Source organism: Homo sapiens, chromosome 5 (genome assembly GCF_000001405.40).
Source record: "Homo sapiens chromosome 5, GRCh38.p14 Primary Assembly".
NCBI classification, from domain to species: Eukaryota; Metazoa; Chordata; class Mammalia; order Primates; family Hominidae; genus Homo; species Homo sapiens.
In genome coordinates this window covers 90,655,022-90,678,255 of record NC_000005.10, presented here as the reverse complement: position 1 = coordinate 90,678,255, position 23,234 = coordinate 90,655,022, and the positions used below count along the sequence as shown (strand labels likewise).

Here is a 23,234-nt window from a genome sequence, read left to right as displayed (position 1 = left end):
TCTACCAATATCCTTGATTGACATGCTAGTGTAAGATCTGCCCTCTCTTCTCCTTTTGCCCTGTGTTTTTGCCTGTCAATAGGATGGGAATATACCAGACATGAGAATGTATGGCACCCAGAACCTGAAATCATCATACAGATCCAAAAGGCAAAATGGATTTGCAGCAAATATCTGGTACATGGCTTTGCTCCCACATTATCCAGAAGTCATAAAAAAGAAGTTCAACACCATATATACTTTGGCTAGCGTAAGACATCTATTCAGGTTGTGGCTACCTTATGTAGAATCATCAGTTTCATCAGTTTTATAGTCAAAAAGCATGAAATAAGTCCTTGACTCTCCAAAGAATTAAGCTCTATAAGCTACTTGACATGTTAGACAGTCCCTACATATGAGTCCAGGAGTAGAGGTCATTGTATAAATTCCTTTTCCTCCAATCCCAACTCACGGAGGGATAAATCAGATTCTCGGCCACTATTGCTTCCTACGCAACTGCAAGGTTGGTTTTCTAGTGAGTATTCAAGTCCAATTAATATATAACAATGCATATTCTAGAGATATGGGGAGAAGTTTCTCAATAATATAACAAGTGTCACTATAAGTGGTCATATGATCACAAGTATTATTATCATCTCAATAACATTTCATGTACAATTATTAATCAGTATTAGCTCATGGTCACTAACATTTTCTCTTTCTATTACATAAGGATTTTTAGCTTTAAGTGACACAAAGGGCAACTTTTCAAATATTTTATAGTAACCTTTTTAGTAATGCAAATAGTGATTTGGAGATACAAGGACTTGTCTCTGGAAGACAAGAAAAGCTGGTATTTTTATATGCCACCTACTAGACAGCACATTTCTACTGTTTTATGCATTCAACCAAGCTCAGCACTGTTTAACCACTTCCCTGCTCCCAAACACTGGCTTGGTCTCCTTGCTCTTACCTGAGATTTGGGAACACAGGAAAGAAAAATTTTTGCATATTTACCCAAATTATCTATTTTATACATAAAGACAATTTTCGTATCTCAGTCCTACCAATTTTTCCTTTGGATGGCTTATGTACTATGGCTTTCTTCATCAAAATAATAAATAATAATAATGAGGTAATGATACCGGGTTTTGTAATGAAAGGGACTGTCCTGATAAACACCATATCATCTCTCAATTTCTCAAACTTATAAAGGTAATTAACAATGCATATCGTATGTATTCCATAACACTCCCAGTAGCACCTGATAAACACATTAACACTTTTGCAAAGTATTCCATCTAATTGGGATACATATTATCAATAGCCTCACTTAGCGCAGATGAGTTCTGTCATGAAATAAGTTTGACTCCAATAACCCTTGATAATCAGAGCTTTCTGAATAGCAGAACTGAAGTTAAGGTATTGTTGACTTCTTTTATTAATAATCAACTCATTATAGATCATCCAAAAGGACCAGATTTTACAGCGTTATATCTGTAGATAGATCTAGCAGAGCTACAGCAAAAAACAGAAAAGAGAGAGGTGACCTTAGGGGAACCTACCATGAATGAAAACTGTAATTTGGTGACTTAGTACACTTATACTTTTCACTCTAAAAGCACGTCTCTTCTAGAAAAATATCAGTGGGTAATAATAAGGGGGAAAAATAGCACGAACATGCTGTCCATATAATAAACAGAGATATTACTCAGAATTAACCAAACCTCATAGCGAAAGCATATCAATGTGAAACTATGAGTTGAATATTAATTTCTAAAACTAATTCTAAAAGTTTATGTAAAGAGGAAAATTTTCTTTTTACCAAGAAAGGGATTATCAATCAAAAATGATTGATATAGATTATATTACCACATATATTATGGTATATATTATCATGTATCTTAAGCAATTATTAACTTTCAGGCTGCTCTCTTCAAAAACTAATAATTTATTCATTTATTTAAGTAAGATTAATTCAAAGGAACTTACTTCCCTAAAGGAATCTACTTTCATCAGCATGGGTAGACAAGCAAATATTTAACATTTTTGAATCACCAGCCTTACCTCCTCCTTCCAAGTTTAACAACTCAACTTTAAAAGATTTTTCCAGTTCAGGAATAGAATTATCAGTGATGTTTATGAAAATGTATTTATATCTTTCTCCTGGTTGAAATTCTAATGTGCCAGCAACATTCTGAAATATAAAAGACTGATCCATTAGATTACAATCATTCTGTATATGAATAGATTACAATCATTCTGTACACAAATTTGTAAAATCAGAATGTTTGTTATATCCCAAATTATTATAAATGCTAAGAAGACAAGTAAAATACAACATTGAAAACACTTCAGTGTGTATGAATAATGTTCAATGTAAATTCTAAATAAATATTCTCCAATTAATTAGATAAAGTAGATTATTTCTTTTTTCTTTCTTTCTTTTCTTTTCTTTTTTTATTTTTCTTTTTTCTTTTTTTATTTTAGAGACAGAGTCTCACAATGTCACCAAGGCTGGAGTGCAGTGGTGGGATCATAGCTCACTATAGCCTTGAACTCGTAGGCTCAAGCAATCCTCCTGCCTCAGCATCCAGAGTAGCTGCACCACCACACCCAGCTAATCTGTTTTTTCTTTTTTTGTAGAGAAAGTGACTTGCGACGTTGCCCATGCTGGTGGCCTCAAGCAATCCTCTCGCCTTTGCCTCCCAAAGTGCTAGGATTACAGGCGTGAGTCACTATGTTCCAGGTACAGTGTATATCCCTTCCAGAGAAGGATTATGTCTGTTTTACAAGTGCAAATACAACTTCAAAAGGACTGAGTAAATTACCTGGTAATCCTCAGGACTGAATGCTGTCAAGGACACTGTTCTAAATTCCGCAGTCACCCTTCCCAGAAGTCCCTGTGCACGGATGACCAATAACCTGATTTCTCCATCTTCCTCCTCCACAGTGATATGTGGAACGCTGCTTGCAGGCAGGGTCATTGCGTCCTTAGGCTGAGGAGGCAGCCCTGTGGAGAACTGCAGCAAGCCTAGTGGAGACAAAGGGGCCAGGGCATTGTCCCAATGAACTGTGCAAGAATTTCTTATTCAATTAAAGCGATCTTACACAATTATTTTGATCACCAGGCCAAAATTCTGAGGGACTTTATTTAGAAAATATTTTAGCAAAGATTTAACTAACATGCTTTTGATACAGAATATGTTCATAAGCTTTCAGAATAATGAAAGTTAAATTGTTAATTTTCCAAGTCTTTACTCAAAGAAAGCTTTTCTTCCCACAGCAGCATCAATAGCAGGAATACTGATACAGTTTTAAAATACATATTTTCTAACTTTTACTCATATTTTTTTAGACTCTCCAGAAATCATTCTAGAACATATAGTAGAACAGGTTAAATGGCACCTTAAAGGAGTTGCAACACTTAAAAATAAACAAATCAACAAACAAACAAAACCTAACTATGAAAACTAAAGGTGAAAAGCCTCTCAAGATTTCTACCCAAACCTTTTAACAGATGTTCTTGATTCATTCCCATAGAAGAAATATTATTTTCCAATACAGAAAACATTCTCAATTTACTAGGACAGACATCTGTGATAGTTCCCCAATCGAGAAAATTGTCACTATTAAGCATAAGACAAAAAGAAATTAATATAGAGTGATAGCTTCACTTCTTGAAGCTTAATAAAATATAAATTACAAAGTATTTCAATTACTTAGGTGTTAACAAATCACCATAGGATAATTATTAAATTAAAGAAATTTGATAGCTATGAACAGAAATACTTTGTTCCATTTTAAATAATCCTGCAAAAACTTTTCAAAACATATTATTGAAGTTTGGAAACTGATCTTTATATTTTCTCTCATAAACAATGTCTCTCAAAACAGTAGCATACAAGTTAAAGAGTTTAGAAATTAGGAGGTCTGAAGGCATTCTACTTCCGTCATTTGCAAAAAGTGCCTTAAGAAGTTCTTAACAAAACTAAGTACACCCAGAGAAGAGAGGATTTTTCTTGCAAAAGGAGCAGGTTACCATATGGATGATCACTAGCTTTGATGGTGATATCAGTCGTTTCCTTTTCAGGATCTATGCTTGCACCACTGGTAGGAGTTGAGCCTAGCTTCCCATCTCCAGGAATTGCAGAAACCAATGTCACACGGAAATACTCATTAAGTTCAGGAATATCATCATCAAGAACATATATATTCAGAACCTAAAAATATAAATATCCAGAGGCACTAAGCAATGAGGCATTTAGAAATTACTTACTAGAAGAAAATTCAAAAGGCAACTAAATTATATTTAAATGAAGTTACCACTTACGACTTATTTCTGCATAAATTAAAACATTAAAACATTGTATGTGTGTGTGCATATGTGTGTATATAGACATATAAAGAGAAAGAGAAGTCTGAATAGATTAATTCCTTAAAAATAATGGATGCTGCTATAGTCTGAATGTCTTATCCTCCTGTCCCCCAAATTCCTATGTTAAAATCTAATCCCCAAAGTGATGGTATTAAAAGATGGGGTTTTCAGGAGGTGATGAGGGCTTGAGGATAGAGCCCTCATGAATGGAATTAGTGTTGAGGGAGTTTGTTTGCCCCTTCCACCGTGAGGAGGGCATATTGAGAAGGCACCATATCTTTGAAGCAGAGTAAGCCCTCACCAGACACAGAATCTACAGGCACCCTGCTCTCAGACGTCCCAGCCTCCAAAACTGCGAGCAATAACTTTCTGTTGTTTATAAGTTACCCAGTGTAAGGTATGTTGTTATAGCAGTCCCAACAGACTAAGGCAGGTGCTGAGCAGTAGCATTTTCTGACAGTAGCCTATACATGCATCAGTATTACATCATATATGATACGTTGATTTATCAATATAATATCATATATTTTTTGTACCAAAGACCGTGGTATTACCAACAACAGGTAGAGACTTCCCAATTAAGAAACTGCATGTTCTATGATGAGATGTGATAGGATAAGAAGCAAGGGCAATGTATCTGTGGCTAGCGTCTGCCTAAGGAGAGCCTGACGTGCTCAGGAACAGTATTTTAGAAAATAGATTCATAATGGGCCTTAGGAGTCCAGCACAAGCAATTAATCCAAAAAAAGTTATAAAAGGAATAGGAATAACTGAGCCATGCTCTACAAAATTTAATTCAAAATTTAAAGTGAAAAAACAATTTCTCCTTTCTTATTAATTAAACAAACATGTTTTGACATATGCAGTATGCTGGGGTTAGACATGGCCCCAGTCCCAATCTATCATAGGAGACAGATCCATAGGAAATCACTTAAAATCCAACGCAAAAATGTCATGATAAAGTTCTGTACAAAATAAAGTGATGAAGAAACTAACTCTACCTGATAAAGGTTTTACAGCAGACATGTTTGAAGCAAATTCTAATGTATCAGTTACAGTTGTAAATAATAATGGGAAGCGACACTTCAATCAAAAGCTGCAAAGAAATTACAGAACAAACACTTCAGGAAAAGCTTTCCAGGAGGCTTTCAAAGGAACAAAAAAGGTAGGGTTTACCTCTGATCTCTGCCAAGGAAGGAATGTAATAGTTCCACTGGCATTAGCAAAGTCATCAACAAGGTAATTAATGCCATCAGTTTCAATCTGTGAAATGGTGTAAAAAACATGCACATAATCCAGAGCTCCTCTGGTTCTCTCAACCACACAAGAAATGGTTGATCCCTCCTCTGCAATCTGAAATTGAATGTAAATTATTAATAGGTGCATAGCAATTCAAATCAGTGACAAAATTACAATGCTTCCATGAAATCCTTTTACCATAAACTTAATTCTACAACTTTCTACCTCTCTAAAAGGGACTAACGAGGCCTCTGCATTCCCCCAGATAAACTTTGACTGCTAAGAAATATTTACAATCATTCATTTTCTCCCATTCCATTATAGAGATAAATAAAGCAAAAAGAATTATAATGTCTTAACTGCACAAGTAATTCATTCATTGATACCTCCTGTGTTCCAACCACTGTGCCATATGCTATGGTTGCAAAATAGTTTTTAATGCATAGTCCTTTCTCTGGATAAGTAGAATTCTAAAGAGAAAGACAAACTTGCAATTTTATAATGGGCTCAGCACAGACAGACCAAATGGGGTGGGGGTTGGGGTAGAGGGTGGAACATGACATCAGAGAGAACTTTCTAGGCACAGACATAAGAAGCAATATAGTATATTTGGTGGTATCATTTTGGCGGGGTGGCATGAAGTGCCAAATGGGGAGATCCTTGAGAGATGCCTAGTGTGGGAACAACAGTCAGATCAAAGAGGGCATCTTATACCATGCTTAATATATTTGTTGGTGTTTTTATCATATAAACCTAGAGGTATTTTTTTCAAGTGGAAAATTTTTTATCTAAACACTTTAAGATAATGCTTTAAAACTCTATGGTGGAAGCAGCTGGAATATCATTTAGAGTAAGGCCTTCCTACTGTCAAATCCTCAGTCTCTCAATTCAATTTTATTTTTATGTTAGCAAATATATAGTTTGGAGAAAAAAGAACCAAAAATGAATACAGATAAAAATACAAGTTTTAATATATAAAATGCCATCTGTATTTTTCATATGAACCATAAGCATCTCTGATCAGGATAAGATAGAGCCATTTTGGTGCTGACATTTTGGAGAGGACAGATTTGGGATTTGTCTACAAACCGACAATAGTCGAAAGTTATCAATGAGTGTGGAGTCACCAGATGTTCCAGCAAATCCTCTGAGTTTCACTGAGCAGCAGCAACCTGGGTGTTCTCATGGTAAAGAGGATCGAGTACACCAGGGGCAACATTCTAACTCTTTTATTTGCCTGCTGGTCCATGGGCATGAGAGGCCCAAAACAACCAGGTGATAGGTCAGTGGGGCCCTCAGTTGTCTCCTAGCAGGCACATTCTTCCCCCAGCCCCACTGCCAGAACCAGAATTTCTAATCCAGTGGAGTCTAAAGTAGGAAACAAATTCAGGCAGTAGGTCACTAAAAGTAGCAGAGACAGGGGTCAGTCTCACTTTTACCTCCTGCTGCCTGAGCCTCTGCATTCTAGTTATTGGGGACACAGAAACAGATACCAGCCATTGAATGCACACACTGCATCCTGATGGACAATACTTCAACCTTCCAAGAAGCTGTCCTTAAGCCAGCACTGTGCCTGGGTCTTCAACAGGCCATTAAATTGTATGAGGCCAGCTACTTGAGGTGACATGGTATATGGTGAGGCCAGTGAATCAGTCCTATCACTACGTACCCATTGCTACACCTCCTTCATATTAGTCCCTTTGAGGCCGTGTGATGCGGGTCTCCATGTGGTTAAAGCTGGCATTCTTTATGCCTTCAGATGATGGTGCTTGTATTAGGATGTATTAGGAGGCTAAAGTAAATACATTAGCCAAAGTATTAATTCCAATAAGAATGAATTGCTGTTTCCTTTGGAGTGATAAAGTCTGGTTGGGATCAGTGTACCAGTAAATGGTTTATTGAGAAGTACTTAGCTTTGGTCTCTGCTGCTTGCTGTTTGGACATTCAGCAACCACCAGTTGCTACATCAGTCTTGGTAAGAGGGAGCTCATGCTGTCAAACCTATGCATAACCTCCATCCCTACCATCATGCTGTTAATGGCACTGTGGTGACAAAGGAGAGTCTGGCCGATATGCAACAGAGCCTCACTCTGATTTCACGGTTGTTGAGAACCTTTTGGGAAACACCCCCTCATACTCAGTGTTAACTCCTGGCAATCTATTCACATGACTTCTCCCCAAACATCTTTGTCTCTAGTCTTGATTCTTCCAAGCCCCTCACCGATCAACTACACCATAAGCACTGCTCAGGGTTGAAGCAGTAGCTTCATACTTCAGGCCATTTCTCCATCCACAAAAGATAAATGGCTAAGTGGACAGTTTACAGCTCTGCCCTCTGACCTTCAGAAACACCTCTGATTAGGGCACTAGAGAAGCATCAGCCCACTTACAGCAAGTAGCAACATATGAAGCCCAGGCATCTCTGAAGCAGGTTTGACTTTCCTCCTGTATCAGTCACAGGTTTTGGGTAAGAATCAAAGGGCTTAAAATATGCCTAGTTTGAAGTGTCTATGAAATAAATATCCTAGAAATGCATCAAGTTGTAACTAAAGAAATGAGTCTGGAATTTTAGAGAAAAGATGAGATTGACATCATAAATTTGGAAGTTATCAATATATAAATGATATTTAAAGCCATGTAAAATTGGTGGATAAATATATAATTATACAAATGGTATTCGAAAACCAGTTGCGACAGCAGGGGGAGTGTAGATGGAGAGGAGAAGAGGACCAAGTACATTTAATTCTGCTATAACACTTATTTTGAAATCATGAAATTGTTCCAATGCAATTGATAATATATTGGGGAACAATTTGAATACAGCCTCAACTTGCATTTGCTTATAAGTGCTATTTCATCCACAAGAAACTTGGTGAACACAGAAAATTGTACCCACGTGAAACAAGCCACATACCTCAAACACATACCTCAAACAACTACCAGCTACTCAGTTCAACACCTGTGTTACTAGCCACACTTAACCACATCTAGTGTTATAATTTTCCTCCAATTTTAGATAATGCTCATTCTATCATTTCACAATAACACACAAGCTGCAATCCTTCTGATGCCCACTTCTACAAGTAAACTTAAAGTTTTTTAAAGATAATATGCCATATCTATTGTGGTTTATAAGTATTAAATATTTAATGTGTACAACATTTTTATCAGGTCTCTATTTTTTTTAAGTGTCAACGACCAAGTCCTTGAGCAGTGTTTTCCTAACCCCATCTTTTCCATAAGTTCTGTGTTTCTCATTATGCATCTGGCATAGTGTGATGATTTTTAAGAATCCATCCATCATGTCATGGCGGAACTGACTGTCCTGAAGGTAGGGCACTCCAACCTTAAGATGTTGGACAGAAGAGGAGAATGCAGCTTGAGACCCAGGTGTCAATACAACATCAGATTTAATTTCCACTTAGGGATCTACATCAGGATTTTCATGCTAGCCGAATGGTACATGAGCAAATGTGTGGTGGAAAGAGTATGGCTTTAAGGCCAAGCAGTCCTGAGCTTCCTCATTCTACCACTTATCAAGCATTCACAGTCTCCTCTGAAAATGGGGATCGTAACATCTCATGAGTTAAATTAATAAACCATTAATCTTAATATGTAAATATAAAATCTTTTCCCTTTTCAGCAAGAGGCATTAGTTAAATAGATCCAAAGAGACACTAAGAAATGTATAATGGTTTCTTTTACAAACTTAAATTTTTATCAAGTCAGTAAGCATTAGCACATAGCATTTAGGACTAAGATGAGGATTTTGTTTGCAAAAGTCACAGGGAAAAGTTACCTAACTATATTTTTATTTACTAAAACCTTCATCAAAACCTATAGCTTCCTGAATATTTTCAGTTTAAAAAAATCACTATTCATATCTAATAAAAGAATGTACAGTTACACGCTATATATCAACACTTTATAGAAAATTTAATGAATATTTTGTACAATAAAGTAAATTTTTTAAGTTCTAAAAGAGCTTTCGAATGTCAAGCGTCCATTAAAAAAAACTACCAGGGGGAGGAGCCAAGATGGACGAATAGGAACAGCTCTGGTCTACAGCTCCCAGCATGAGCAACGCAGAAGACGGGTGATTTCTGCATTTCCATCAGAGGTACCAGGTTCATCTCACTAGGGAGTGCCAGACAGTGGGCGCAGGTCAGTGGGTGCGCGCACCATGCGGGAGCCGAAGCAGGGTGAGGCATTGCCTCACTCGGGAAGCGCAAGGGGTCAGGGAGTTCCCTTTCCTAGTCAAAGAAAGGGGTGACGGACGGCACCTGGAAAATCGGGTCACTCCCACCAGAATACTGCACTTTTCCGACGGGCTTAAAAAACGGCGCACCACGAGATTATACCCCGCACCTGGCTCAGAGGGTCCTACACCCATGGAGTCTCGCTGATTGCTAGCACAGCAGTCTGAGATCAAACTGCAAGGCGGCAGCGAGGCTGGGGGAGGGGCGCCCGCCATTGCCCAGGCTTGCTTAGGTAAACAAAGCAGCCTGGAAGCTCAGACTGGGTGGAGCCCACCACAGCTCAAGGAGGCCTGCCTGCCTCTGTAGGCTCCACCTCTGGGGGCAGGGCACAGACAAACAAAAAGACAGCAGTAACCTCTGCAGACTTAAATGTCCCTGTCTGACAGCTTTGAAGAGAGCAGTGGTTCTCCCAGTACGCAGCTGGAGATCTGAGAACGGGCAGACTGCCTCCTCAAGTGGGTGCCTGACCCCTGACCCCCGAGCAGCCTAACTGGGAGGCACCCCCCAACAGGGGCACACTGACACCTCACACGGCAGGGTACTCCAACAGCCCTGCAGCTGAGGGTCCTGTCTGTTAGAAGGAAAACTAACAAACAGAAAGGACATCCACACCAAAAACCCATCTGTACATCACCATCATCAAAGACCAACAGTAGATAAACCACAAAGATGGGGAAAAAACAGAACAGAAAAACTGGAAACTCTAAAAAGCAGAGCGCCTCTCCTCCTCCAAAGGAACGCAGTTCCTCACCAGCAACGGAACAAAGCTGGATGGAGAATGACTTTCACCAGCTGAGAGAAGAAGGCTTCAGACGATCAAATTACTCTGAGCTACGGGAGGACATTCAAACCAAAGGCAAAGAAGTTGAAAACTTTGAAAAAAATTTAGAAGAATGTATAACTAGAATAATCAATACAGAGAAGTGCTTAAAGGAGCTGATGGAGCTGAAAACCAAGGCTCGAGAACTACGTGAAGAATGCAGAAGCCTCAGGAGCTGATGCAATCAACTGGAAGAAAAGGTATCAGCGATGGAAGATGAAATGAATGAAATGAAGCGAGAAGGGAAGTTTAGAGAAAAAAGAATAAAAAGAAATGAGCAAAGCCTCCAAGAAATATGGGACTATGTGAAAAGACCAAATCTACGTCTGATTGGTCTACCTGAAAGTGATGGGGAGAATGGAAGCAAGTTGGAAAACACTCTGCAGGATATTATCCAGGAGAACTTCCCCAATCTAGCAAGGCAGGCCAACGTTCAGATTCAGGAAATACAGAGAACGCCACAAAGATACTCCTCGAGAAGAGCAACTCCAAGACACATAATTGTCAGTTTCACCAAAGTTGAAATGAAGGAAAAAATATTAAGGGCAGCTAGAGAGAAAGGTCGGGTTACCCTCAAAGGGAAGCCCATCAGACTAACAACGGATCTCTTGGCAGAAACCCTACAAGCCAGAAGAGAGTGGGGGCCAATATTCAACATTCTTAAAGAAAAGAATTTTCAACCCAGAATTTCATATCCAGCCAAACTAAGCTTCATAAGTGAAGGAGAAATAAAATACTTTACAGAAAAGCAAATGCTGAGAGATTTTGTCACCACCAGGCCTGTCCTAAAAGAGCTCCTGAAGGAAGCGCTAAACATGGAAAGGAACAACCGGTACCAGCCGCTGCAAAATCATGCCAAAATGTAAAGACCATCGAGACTAGGAAGAAACTGCATCAACTAACAAGCAAAATAACCCGCTAACATCATAATGACAGGATCAAATTCACACATAACAATACTAACTTTAAATGTAAATGGACTAAATGCTCCAATTAAAAGACACAGACTGGCAAATTGGATAGTCAAGACCCATCAGTGTGCTGTATTCAGGAAACCCATCTCACGTGCAGAGACACACATAGGCTCAAAATAAAAAGATTGAGGAAAATCTACCAAGCAAATGGAAAACAAAAAAAGGCAGGTGTTGCAATCCTACTCTCTGATAAAACACACTTTAAACCAACAAAGATCAAAAGAGACAAAGAAGGCCATTACATAATGGTAAAGGGATCAATTCAACAAGAAGAGCTAACTAGCCTAAATATATATGCACCCAACAAAGGAGCACCCACATTCAAAAAGCAAGTCCTGAATGACCTACAAAGAGACTTAGACTCCCACACATTAATAATGGGAGACTTTAACACCCCACTGTCAACATTAGACAGATCAACGAGACAGAAAGTCAACAAGGATACCCAGGAATTGAACTCAGCTCTGCACCAAGCGGACCTAATAGACATCTACAGAACTCTCCACCCCAAATCAACAGAATATACATTTTTTTCAGCACCACACCACACCTATTCCAAAATTGACCACGTACTTGGAAGTAAAGCTCTCCTCAGCAAATGTAAAAGAACAGAGATTATAACAAACTATCTCTCAGACCACAGTGCAATCAAACTAGAACTCAGGATTAAGAATCTCACTCAAAACCGCTCAACTACATGGAAACTGAACAACCTGCTCCTGAATGACTACTGGATACATAACGAAATGAAGGCAGAAATAAAGATGTTCTTTGAAACCAACAAGAACGAAGACACAACATACCAGAATCTCTGGGACGCATTCAAAGCAGTGTGTAGAGGGAAATTTATAGCACTAAATGCCCACAAGAGAAAGCAGGAAAGATCCAAAATTGACACCCTAACATCACAATTAAAAGGACTAGAAAAGCAAGAGCAAACACATTCAAAAGCAAGCAGAAGGCAAGAAATAACTAAAATCAGAGCAGAACTGAAGGAAATAGAGACACAAAAAACCCTTCAAAAAATTAATGAATCCAGGAGCTGGTTTTTTGAAAGGATCGACAAAATAAATAGACCGCTAGCAAGACTAATAAAGAAAAAAAGAGAGAAGAATCAAATAGACGGAATAAAAAATGATAAAGGGAATATCACCACTGATCCCACAGAAATACAAACTACCATCAGAGAATACTACAAACACCTCTACGCAAATAAACTAGAAAATCTAGAAGAAATGGATAAATTCCTCAACACATACACTCTCCCAAGACTAAACCAGGAAGAAGTTGAATCTCTGAATAGACCAATAACAGGTTCTGAAATTGTGGCAATAATCAATAGTTTACCAACCAAAAAGAGTCCAGGACCAAACGGATTCACAGCCGAATTCTACCAGAGGTACAAGGAGGAACTGGTACCATTCCTTCTGAAACTATTCCAATCAATAGAAAAAGAGGGAATCCTCCCTAACTCATTTTATGAGGCCAGCATCATTCTGATACCAAAGCCAGGCAGAGACACAACCAAAAAAGAGAATTTTAGACCAATATCCTTGATGAACACTGATGCAAAAATCCTCAATAAAATACTGGCAAACCGAATCCAGCAGCACATCAAAAAGCTTATCTACCATGATCAAGTGGGCTTCATCCCTGGGATGCAAGCTGGTTCAATATACGCAAATTAATAAATGTAATCCAGCATATAAACAGAGCCAAAGACAAAAACCACATGATTATCTCAATAGATACAGAAAAGGCCTTTGACAACATTCAACAACCCTTCATGCTAAAAACTCTCAATAAATTAGGTATTGATGGGACGTATTTCAAAATAATAAGAGCTATCTATGACAAACCCACAGCCAATATCATACTGAATGGGCAAAAACTGGAAGCATTCCCTTTGAAAACTGGCACAAGACAGGGATGCCCTCTCTCACCACTCCTATTCAACATAGTGTTGGAAGTTCTGGCCAGGGCAATTAGGCAGGAGAAGGAAATAAACGGTATTCAATTAGGAAAAGAGGAAGTCAAATTGTCCCTGTTTGCAGATGACATGATTGTATATCTAGAAAACCCCACTGTCTCAGCCCAAAATCTCCTTAAGCTGATAAGCAACTTCAGCAAAGTCTCAGGATACAAAATCAATGTACAAAAATCTCAAGCATTCTTATACACCAACAACAGGCAAACAGAGAGCCAAATCATGAGTGAACTCCCATTCACAATTGCTTCAAAGAGAATAAAATACCTAGGAATCCAACTTACAAAGGATGTGAAGGACCTCTTCAAGGAGAACTACAAACCACTGCTCAAGGAAATAAAAGAGGATACAAACAAATGGAAGAACATTCCATGCTCATGGGTAGGAAGAATCAATATCGTGAAAATGGCCATACTGCCCAAGGTAATTTACAGATTCAATGCCATCCCCATCAAGCTACCAATGACTTTCTTCACAGAATTGGAAAAAACTGCTTTAAAGTTCATATGGAACCAAAAAAGAGCCCGCATCGCCAAGGCAATCCTAAGCCAAAACAACAAAGCTGGAGGCATCACACTACCTGACTTCAAACTATACTACAAGGCTACAGTAACCAAAACAGCATGGTACTGGTACCAAAACAGAGATATAGATCAATGGAACAGAACAGAGCCCTCAGAAATAACGCCGCATATCTACAACTATCTGATCTTTGACAAACTTGAGAAAAACAAGCAATGGGGAAAGGATTCCCTATTTAATAAATGGTGCTGGGAAAATTGGCTAGCCATATGTAGAAAGCTGAAACTGGATCCCTTCCTTACACCTTATACAAAAATCAATTCAAGATGGATTAAAGACTTAAACATTAGACCTAAAACCATAAAAACCCTTGAAGAAAACCTAGGCATTACCATTCAGGACACAGGCATGGGCAAGGACTTCATGTCTAAAACACCAAAAGCAATGGCAACAAAAGACAAAATTGACAAATGGGACCTAATTAAACTCAAGAGCTTCTGCACAGCAAAAGAAACTACCATCAGAGTGAACAGGCAACCTACAAAATGGGAGACAATTTTCGCAACCTACTCATCTGACAAAGGGCTAATATCCAGAATCTACAATGAACTCAAACAAATTTACAAGAAAAAAACAAACAACCCCATCAAAAAGTGGGCGAAGGACATGAACAGACACTTCTCAAAAGAAGACATTTATGCAGCCAAAAAACACATGAAAAAATGCTCATCATCACTGGCCATCAGAGAAATGCAAATCAAAACCACAATAAGATACCATCTCACACCAGTTAGAATGGCAATCATTAAAAAGTCAGGAAACAACAGGTGCTGGAGAGGATGTGGAGAAACAGGAACACTTTTACACTGTTGGTGGGACTGTAAACTAGTTCAACCATTGTGGAAGTCAGTGTGATGATTCCTCAGGGATCTAGAACTAGAAATACCATTTGACCCAGCCATCCCATTACTGGGTATATACCCAAAGGACTGTAAATCATGCAGCTATAAAGACACATGCACACGTATGTTTATTGCGGCATTATTCACAATAGCAAAGACTTGGAACCAACCCAAATGTCCAACAATGATAGACTGGATTAAGAAAATGTGGCACATATACACCATGGAATACTATGCAGCCATAAAAAATGATGAGTTCATGTCCTTTGTAGGGACATGGATGAAACTGGAAATCATCATTCTCAGTAAAGTATCGCAAGAACAAAAAACCAAACACCACATATTCTCACTCATAGGTGGGAACTGAACAATGAGATCATATGGACACAGGAAGGGGAACATCACACTCTGGGGACTGTTGTGTGGTGGGGGGAGGGGGAAGGGATAGCATTGGGAGATATACCTAATGCTAGATGACGAGTTAGTGGGTGCAGAGCACCAGCATGGCACACGTATACATATGTAACTAACCTGCACAATGTGCTCATGTACCCTAAAACTTAAAGTATAATAATAAAAGAAAAAAAAGAAAAAAAGAAAAAAAAAACTACCAGGATTCTCAGTGCAAATCCACCTTTAATACTTCTGAATTTACAGAGAAATAACATAACGCCTGAGGTTTGCTTTAAAAAGTACTTTAACTGGCTGGGCACGGTGGCTTACACCTGTAATCCCAGCACTTTGGGAGGCTGAGGTAGGTGGATCACGAGGTCAGGAGATCGAGACCATCCTGGCTAACACAGTGAAACCCCGTCTCTGCTAAAAATACAAAAAATTAGCCGGGCATGGTGGTGGGCGCCTGTAGTCCCAGCTACTCGGGAGGCTGAGGCAGGAGAATGGCGTGAACCCGGGAGGTGGAGCTTGCAGTGAGCCATGATCGCATCACTGCACTCCAGCCTGGGTGGGCGACAGAGCGTGACTCCGTCTCAAAAAAAAAAAAAAAAAAAAGTTGTTTAACCAAAAATGATTAAACAATATTGCCAAAAGGCTGATAATTATTGAAGCTAGTACACTGTGACTCATTCCTTTATCTTCTCTATTTTTGTGTATACTCTATATATGAAAACTTTCATTTAAAAAGGTTTTCTAATTCAGCTTAAACTTCCCCTCTCCCCTAGCCAGAGATTGTGATCCAGGAATGGGGTCCTGAGTCAGGAATAATGTCCAGTAATAAGCATTAGATATTTCTGACAAGGTCATCCAAGGGCAACACTTTCAGAAATACTAGACTCCGGTATGTAATTATTAATACAGAAATGCATAAGACATAGAAAATAAATATCTAAACCTTTTTTCTAATATTAAAATATTCATCTAATTGAGTTTAGAATTATGATACAAACAAACATTTAGGCCAGTATATGAAGGGGCCTAACATCCATAATAATCATCAAACCATCCCCAAACAGTTTCTCACTAGACACAATAATACTCACTACCGTCTCCTCTTTTAAGTCAGGAATTTGCCAAATATTCAGATCATCAGAACAGTAATAATAAACAGAAATAGTAAGACGAGTTTTTGAAACCTATTTTCTTAGAAAAAATAATGCAGTATTCTGAACCATGAATTGGCCTTCTCTATTGCAATAGAAAATTAAAGCTACAAATCCAATTAATTTTTAATTTTGTTTCATGCATGGGTGATGATTGGTGATATCGGATTATACCAATATCACTTATATCCCAAGGAATCTATTCACATAGCACATGGTAGGCACTTAAAAACAAATATAGTCCAAGTTGAAATGATATTCTTGTTTTCATGAAGATCTTCCCAAAGTGTCTTTAATTGATTCTTAAGCCATAGTTTATAAATATAACATATAATGCAAGTATTAGTTATAAAAAATAAAACAATACGATTAGCAAGTTCTATGAATCACTATGAAAGCAACTTCATTAATTTATAATTACGTGGTATACAATTTGGCAGGACACGTAAAAACAGTGCTAAAATATGGTACAGAGAAAATAACATAGGAAATACACAGAACAACAAAATATGGGGAAGAAACATGAGAATGTGGTTACTAGGCTATAGATCTAACAAAATCCATCTTCTGTTCAATACAGATCCCACTTGGAATCCAAAGCACTATTTGGCATGCCTCACCAGGACCCTAAACTGCTTCACAGGTTTTATTCATTCTTTCAATTATAGTTTATTAAGCACCTGCTCTTTGCCGGGACATAGTGTACCTGGTTGGTAGAAAACAAATCACAGAATAATTACCTTCTCTTTCAATGTGCCAAATAGCAGGCTATGTCAGAGTCTACATATTTTCATTATCTGTTTAAGATGTCATTATGCTATCATTTTAACCTTAATATTACTTTATGTCATATTAATCTATGAAAAAGGTAAAAGCATAACATAACTCAGAAGGCCTATTTTAAATTTTTTTAATTTTTATTTCAATTTAAAATAGACAAGGGGGTCTCACTATGTTGCCTAGGCTGTTCTCAAACTCCTAGGCTCAAGAGATCCTCCCACCTCAGCTTCCCAAAGTGCTGGAATTACAGGCGTGAGCCACTGTGCCCAGCCCAGAGTCTTTATAGGGTCTCTATTGCATTCAGAAATTTTGAGGGAATTTTTTTTAACGTTAAATTGTCAATGTCATTGCAACAACATAATGGAGAAGAATCTATGGAAGTGGCTGTAGTCTTTATTTCTAAAAATGAAGCAAGTGATCATAAAATTTGAACTCAGAAGATAATTACAAGCACAGACTAAACCAGCAGTTCTCAAATGTTTTAGTTTCAGGACCCCTGTACACATCAAAACTATTGAGAACCCCAGAGAGTTTTTGTTGATATCATTAAAATCTGCTGATATTTTCCATATTCAAATGAAAAATTAAAAATTTAAATATTGATAACTCATTTTAAGACAGCAATAATAAACCCATTACATGCTAACATAAACAACATATTTTATGAGAAATAACTACAGTTCTCGAAAAAAAATTAGTGATAAGGGGGTATTATTTTATATTTTTAAAAGTCTCCTTAATGTCTGGCTTAATAGAAGACAGCTGGATTCTCCTAGCTCCTCTTGCAATCAATTTGTCTGTTTCTTTTTCTTTTTCTTTTTTTTTTTCTCTGAGACAGAGTCTTGTGTCACCCACGCTGGAGTGCAGTGGCACCATCTCGGCTCACTGCAAGCTCTGCCTCCTGGGTTCACACCATTCTCCTGCCTCAGCTTCACGAGTAGCTGGCACTACAGGTGCCCACCACCACACCCGGCTAATTTTTTGTATTTTTAGTAGAGACGGGGTTTCACCATGTTAGCCAGGATGGTCTCGATCTTCTGACCTCATGATCCGCCCGCCTCAGCATCCCGAAGTGCTGGGATTACAGGCGTGAGCCACCGCGCCCGGCCTGTTTCTATCTTTTACTTTGGTTAAAGTGTATAAAGAAAATCCAGCCTTATATATACATGTGTGTAACAGAAAAAGGAAGAGGATTTTACTAGTCTTTTCAGATAATTATGGGTATTTTTCCTTGACATTATACCAAAATCCAAAATTTGACAAGTGGCAGTTTCTTAGCATTTAGCTGCAACCTGGAAACATACTCTAGTACTTTAAAATCTACTGGTCTACCTTGTACTTTGGAACAGTCTTTTACCCAGGCATGATTTGCAACAATATGCATTGATTACTTGAAAAATACTAGTTACTGAGTTATACAGATCTTCAAAATGTTGACACATATTATACAAAATAATCACACTGGTTAATGTCACTATCACACTGGTTAATATCACTATCACACTGGTTAATAACGCACCTATATTATGGATTATCAGAAAGGTGCATAAAATGTAATATGTAGAAGTTCTTTGATAGCTGAATACCTATTTAAAGGTATTATCCACTATATGTAAACATCTTTCTTTTCAAGTTGTAGATTTGTATGACATTTGTTATTGCTAGTCTAGGATATGCTATTTCTGATGTAAAAAAAGGACCATACTATTTGAAGATCTCTTAAGACTGCCACCAAACCAAAGGGCTAAAGTGGCAAGAAAGACACTCCAGAGAGGCAGACATCCCAGTTTAAGCTAGAATGAGCCTATGACCTAGATTTTTTTTCAAACTCTACTCATCCATTTTTAAAAAATCATTTCAATTTACTTATACATCCTTCTAAACCAATTAGAATCAACTTGCAAAAAGAAAGACTCTTGTTCCTTGGCATCCTTTCATGGTCACCAAGCTGTTGCTGTCACACAGAACACCTGGGAAGTAGTTTCATGAGTTCTCACATTACTGAACAGGAAACCAAGATGATTACGAATCTTTGAAAACATGGAAAGAACTGATAAGGACAGTAAGACAGCCTAATGAATTAAGCTGGCCAAGAAGGTTGATAAGAAAGGTATTTACACCCAACATGGAAGAAAGTGATAACTAACTACTCAAGTACGTTTCACATGTAAAAAAAAAAAAATCAAAAAATCATATTTTAATAAAGTTGCAAATACAATTATTCATACAAGCCTTCAATATATATTATTTCATTCAATTTAATGACATCCAAAACAGTAGCCAAAAATAAATAGGTAGAGTATACACATACGTTCTTTGAAGAGCATTAACTTTCAGGCGAATTGCTAAAGTTTCATTTGCTAACTTGTTATTACTTCTATCAGCTCATTAAGTTGATCCAAAGGGTGAACTCATAAGAGTAAGAATTTTGTAATTTATATTTGCAATCACTGGCCCTAGCATACTTCTGGACTTGGAGTAGATGCGCAACCAATCTTACCAAATGAAAGAAAGCCGAGTCCCAAACAAATCCACCTACAATGAATTTTTAAATCCAAAATTCTCCAAGCTCACTACTTACCTCTGGTATACAAGCTCCTGTGAAACCAAACAAGCCATTTGCATTGTCACTTTTTTGTATTGTTAATCTTGCAGTAGTATTTTCTTCCGAAATACGAGCTCCTCCATATACAGAAACTAGTTTAAGAATGAATAATTCTTCTCCTTCCTCGTCATTGTCATCTCTTGCAGAAATAATGAATGATTTGTTAGTTTCTCCCTGTCTGAACTCCAGATATCCAGAAATTGGGTGTAAATCACTTTTTGCGGGCATGGCATGAAGTTCATAAATTTCTTCAAGCGTCAGTTTCCGCTCATAGGACCTCACATCCTGCATCAGACCTGTAAATCTGTCATTGCCATTTATCCCTGCTCCAATTCTCAGTATCCCAGGACCTGAAATTAGAGACAAGTTTAAATGCTACAATACCTTCAAGTGTCCTGTCCTAAATTTTACGTGTGATTCAGAAAGTAAGACAATTTTACTGAAAGATATTTTTGGATAAATGAAACTTTTGCATAACTAGTATACAATGAATTGGATATTATCTTCTATTATGATTTTAAAAAAGGAATCCATAATCATTAGGATTTATATTTTGTACTAAAAGAATTGGTAACTATCTTCAAATTAGATGATATACTTAAAAGTAACTTCTATCAGTCTGTCAACATTTCTAGAAAAAAAAGTATCTGAACATACACATACACACACATACATACACACGTATGCATGTATGTATGTGCACGTATTTGGATAGAAATTTATTCTATGGTATTTTAAAATTTACTCTTGCACATTTAAAAATGGACTTATTCATCACAATTTTTAATTATGTATTTATTTATTTATGTACTTTAGAGACAAGATCTTGCTCTTTTACCCAGGCTAGAGTGCAATGGCATGTTAATAGCTCACTGTGACCTCAAACTCCTGGGTTCGAGCAATCCAACCACCTCAGACTAACAAATAGCAAGGACATCACTACAGGAGTCCACTGCCAGGCCTGGCTTTTTTTGTTGTTGTTGTTTTGTTTTTTTTGTAGAGACAGGGTCTTGCTATGTTGCCCAGGCTGGTCTCAAACTCCTGGCCTCAAGCGATCCTCCCAAAGTGCTTAGATGGGAGGATCGCTTGAGGCGCAATTACAGGCATGGGCCACTGCACCTAGCCTCATCACAATTTTTAAACTTCAGTACTATATTATTATTTAAGAACTTCAAGGCTTGATATGTTAGACACTCATTGAGTTAAAGTTGTGAGAATTCATAAGAAGTATTTCTACAGGCCAAATATATCTCTCTATCCAAACAACTAAGAGAATAGATGTAAAAATAGAAATATTTCTTCTCAGAAACATTATATGTAAGTCTTGGGGACTTTTAAAAATAATAATAACATGTAGCCCAACTGTGTCACTATATCTCAATAACAAACCTTTTCATGCTTTCACTAGTTCTCCTTTCTTTACCTGTTCGTACTCTAATAACTCAACTAAGATATTTATGTAAGATCTTTAGGCAAGATGAGATATTGGCAGAGATTCTGGAAAAAAAAGTACAAGCAATATTTCTTGTCAATAACCTCAGTGGAGGCTGTTTCACAAATCTCCACCCAGATGTCTTTCAGGGTAGTCACAAGTATCTGGCATGTTACTGTCATGACAGCTCCCATACCGACTACAGAGACCACCTTCCTGCCCAGCAAACCAGAAACACCTTTTCACTGGAGCTCCAGATTCAATGGGAAATCCTATGTTGTCTCTCCTATTGAATTATCTGGCAACTGTAATGATATAAGTTCCCCTGATTCTCACAAAACCACATCATGGTTCTCACTGTTAGGATGCTATCTGGAGTCAAGGATATAGAAATGATCACATCTCCTTTAGTTCTGTCTCTATGGTATGTTAAAAGGAATACTGACCTAGGAGTTAATGGTTTATTTTCATGTCTTGGTTCCTCTGTTACTTGCCTGTGTGATGCTAGCGAATTTATTTACTGACTCTGACCTCTATTTAATATATTGAATTATTATGAAGTACAAATTAGGTAATGTATGGAAAATGCCTTATAAATGTAAAACATTATACATATTTGAGGATTCTAAGCACTTTGCTTCTATGACTAATTCTCTGGGACAAACCTGATCATTATTTCTCTACTTGTAGTGTTAACTACTTAAGTTACAATGCTAAATCATTCAAAATAAAAGTTATAAAAATGCCAATATGTTACAGTGGTTCATGGAGGGAATATGGCATCTTTCACTCTGCATCTTAATACTATTCTATACTTTTCAAATTTCATGCAATATACATGTATCATTTTGACAATAAAGAAGAAAAATTGTGAAATATGTATACAGTGTGTGTATACGAACATGTTAACAGTATGCTTAATGTTTATAGTGGCTATCTCTGAATGACTGTAAATGATTCTTATAATGATTGTAAATGATTTTTATTGTAAATGATTTCTATTTTTGTTGTATATGTGTACTTTACAATTTTTCTATATTGAACACAGCATTATTTTTTTTTAAATACACCTTTTATGATACTGTGAGATGCCACTACAAACCAAAAGTAAAGATGGAAGAAGCTAAGCATTAATTAAGTGGAACTCTCATACACTAGAGGTGAGAGTATAATTAGGTTCAACTGTTTTGGAAAAAGGATAGGCATTATCTACTAAAACCGAATATTTGCACACACTGTCATTCAGCAATTCCATCCCCAGGAATGTGCTCAACAGAAATGCATATGGCAGGCATATGTTCATCAAAAAACATGTATAAGAGTATCCATAGAAGTACTATATGTAGTAGGCAGAACAGAAAACAACCAAAACAGAAATTGAAAGTAGCACTAATAAATAAATTGTGTTACAGTTACATAAGATAATTCTATATGGTAATGAGCATGAAATATCTACAGCAGGCAAAAATATGGATGAACTTCACAAACAATACTGAGCAAAAGAAGCTGGACACTCAAGTGTACATACTGTTCAGTTCTATTTATATAAATTTAAAAATAGGAAAAGTGAATCTTAAGCTCTTAAAAATGCCAATAGTCAGTAGGCAGGGTGGTGAGTTAGCAACTGGAGGAGTCAAAGGGGGCTTCTGGAATGCTGTTTCTTGGTCTGGGGGCTGATCACATGAGTGCTGAAACTGATGAATTTAAGTTTTAAAAATTTCACTTATCTGTACACTTACAATATGCATACTTTTATATTTTTATAATATAAAGGGCACTACAGTTCAATAACTTTACATAT

At 37.4% G+C, this 23,234-nt stretch overlaps 1 protein-coding gene across 14 annotated transcripts in view, besides 2 other annotated features; it reads right to left on the bottom strand.

Moving 5' to 3' along the window:
- The window catches only part of ADGRV1 (adhesion G protein-coupled receptor V1), a 605,641-nt gene that overhangs the window by 486,182 nt on the left and 96,225 nt on the right, over nt 1–23,234 (bottom strand). For all 14 annotated transcript variants that reach the window (NR_003149.2, XM_017009963.3, XM_017009969.3 and 11 more), the window contains 5 exons: nt 19,978–20,351; nt 5,534–5,710; nt 4,022–4,202; nt 2,811–3,013; nt 2,047–2,176 (listed from right to left, as the gene is read on the bottom strand). Coding sequence is in view for 13 of the 14 variants with exons in the window: in XM_017009963.3 (XP_016865452.1) it covers nt 2,047–2,176; nt 2,811–3,013; nt 4,022–4,202; nt 5,534–5,710; nt 19,978–20,351 (1,065 nt within the window). In the remaining variant the exon portion in view is untranslated. The remainder of the gene's footprint in view (nt 1–2,046; nt 2,177–2,810; nt 3,014–4,021; nt 4,203–5,533; nt 5,711–19,977; nt 20,352–23,234) is intronic.
- Nucleotides 5,296–5,853: an enhancer, noted in NCBI's record as "NANOG hESC enhancer chr5:89968220-89968777 (GRCh37/hg19 assembly coordinates)". NCBI's record gives its function as "activates a minimal SCP1, AML or CMV promoter by ChIP-STARR-seq in primed H9 embryonic stem cells {active_cell/tissue: H9 hESC(primed)}" and the evidence as "EXISTENCE:reporter gene assay evidence [ECO:0000049][PMID:30033119]".
- Nucleotides 9,869–10,400: an enhancer, noted in NCBI's record as "H3K27ac-H3K4me1 hESC enhancer chr5:89963673-89964204 (GRCh37/hg19 assembly coordinates)". NCBI's record gives its function as "activates a minimal SCP1, AML or CMV promoter by ChIP-STARR-seq in primed H9 embryonic stem cells {active_cell/tissue: H9 hESC(primed)}" and the evidence as "EXISTENCE:reporter gene assay evidence [ECO:0000049][PMID:30033119]".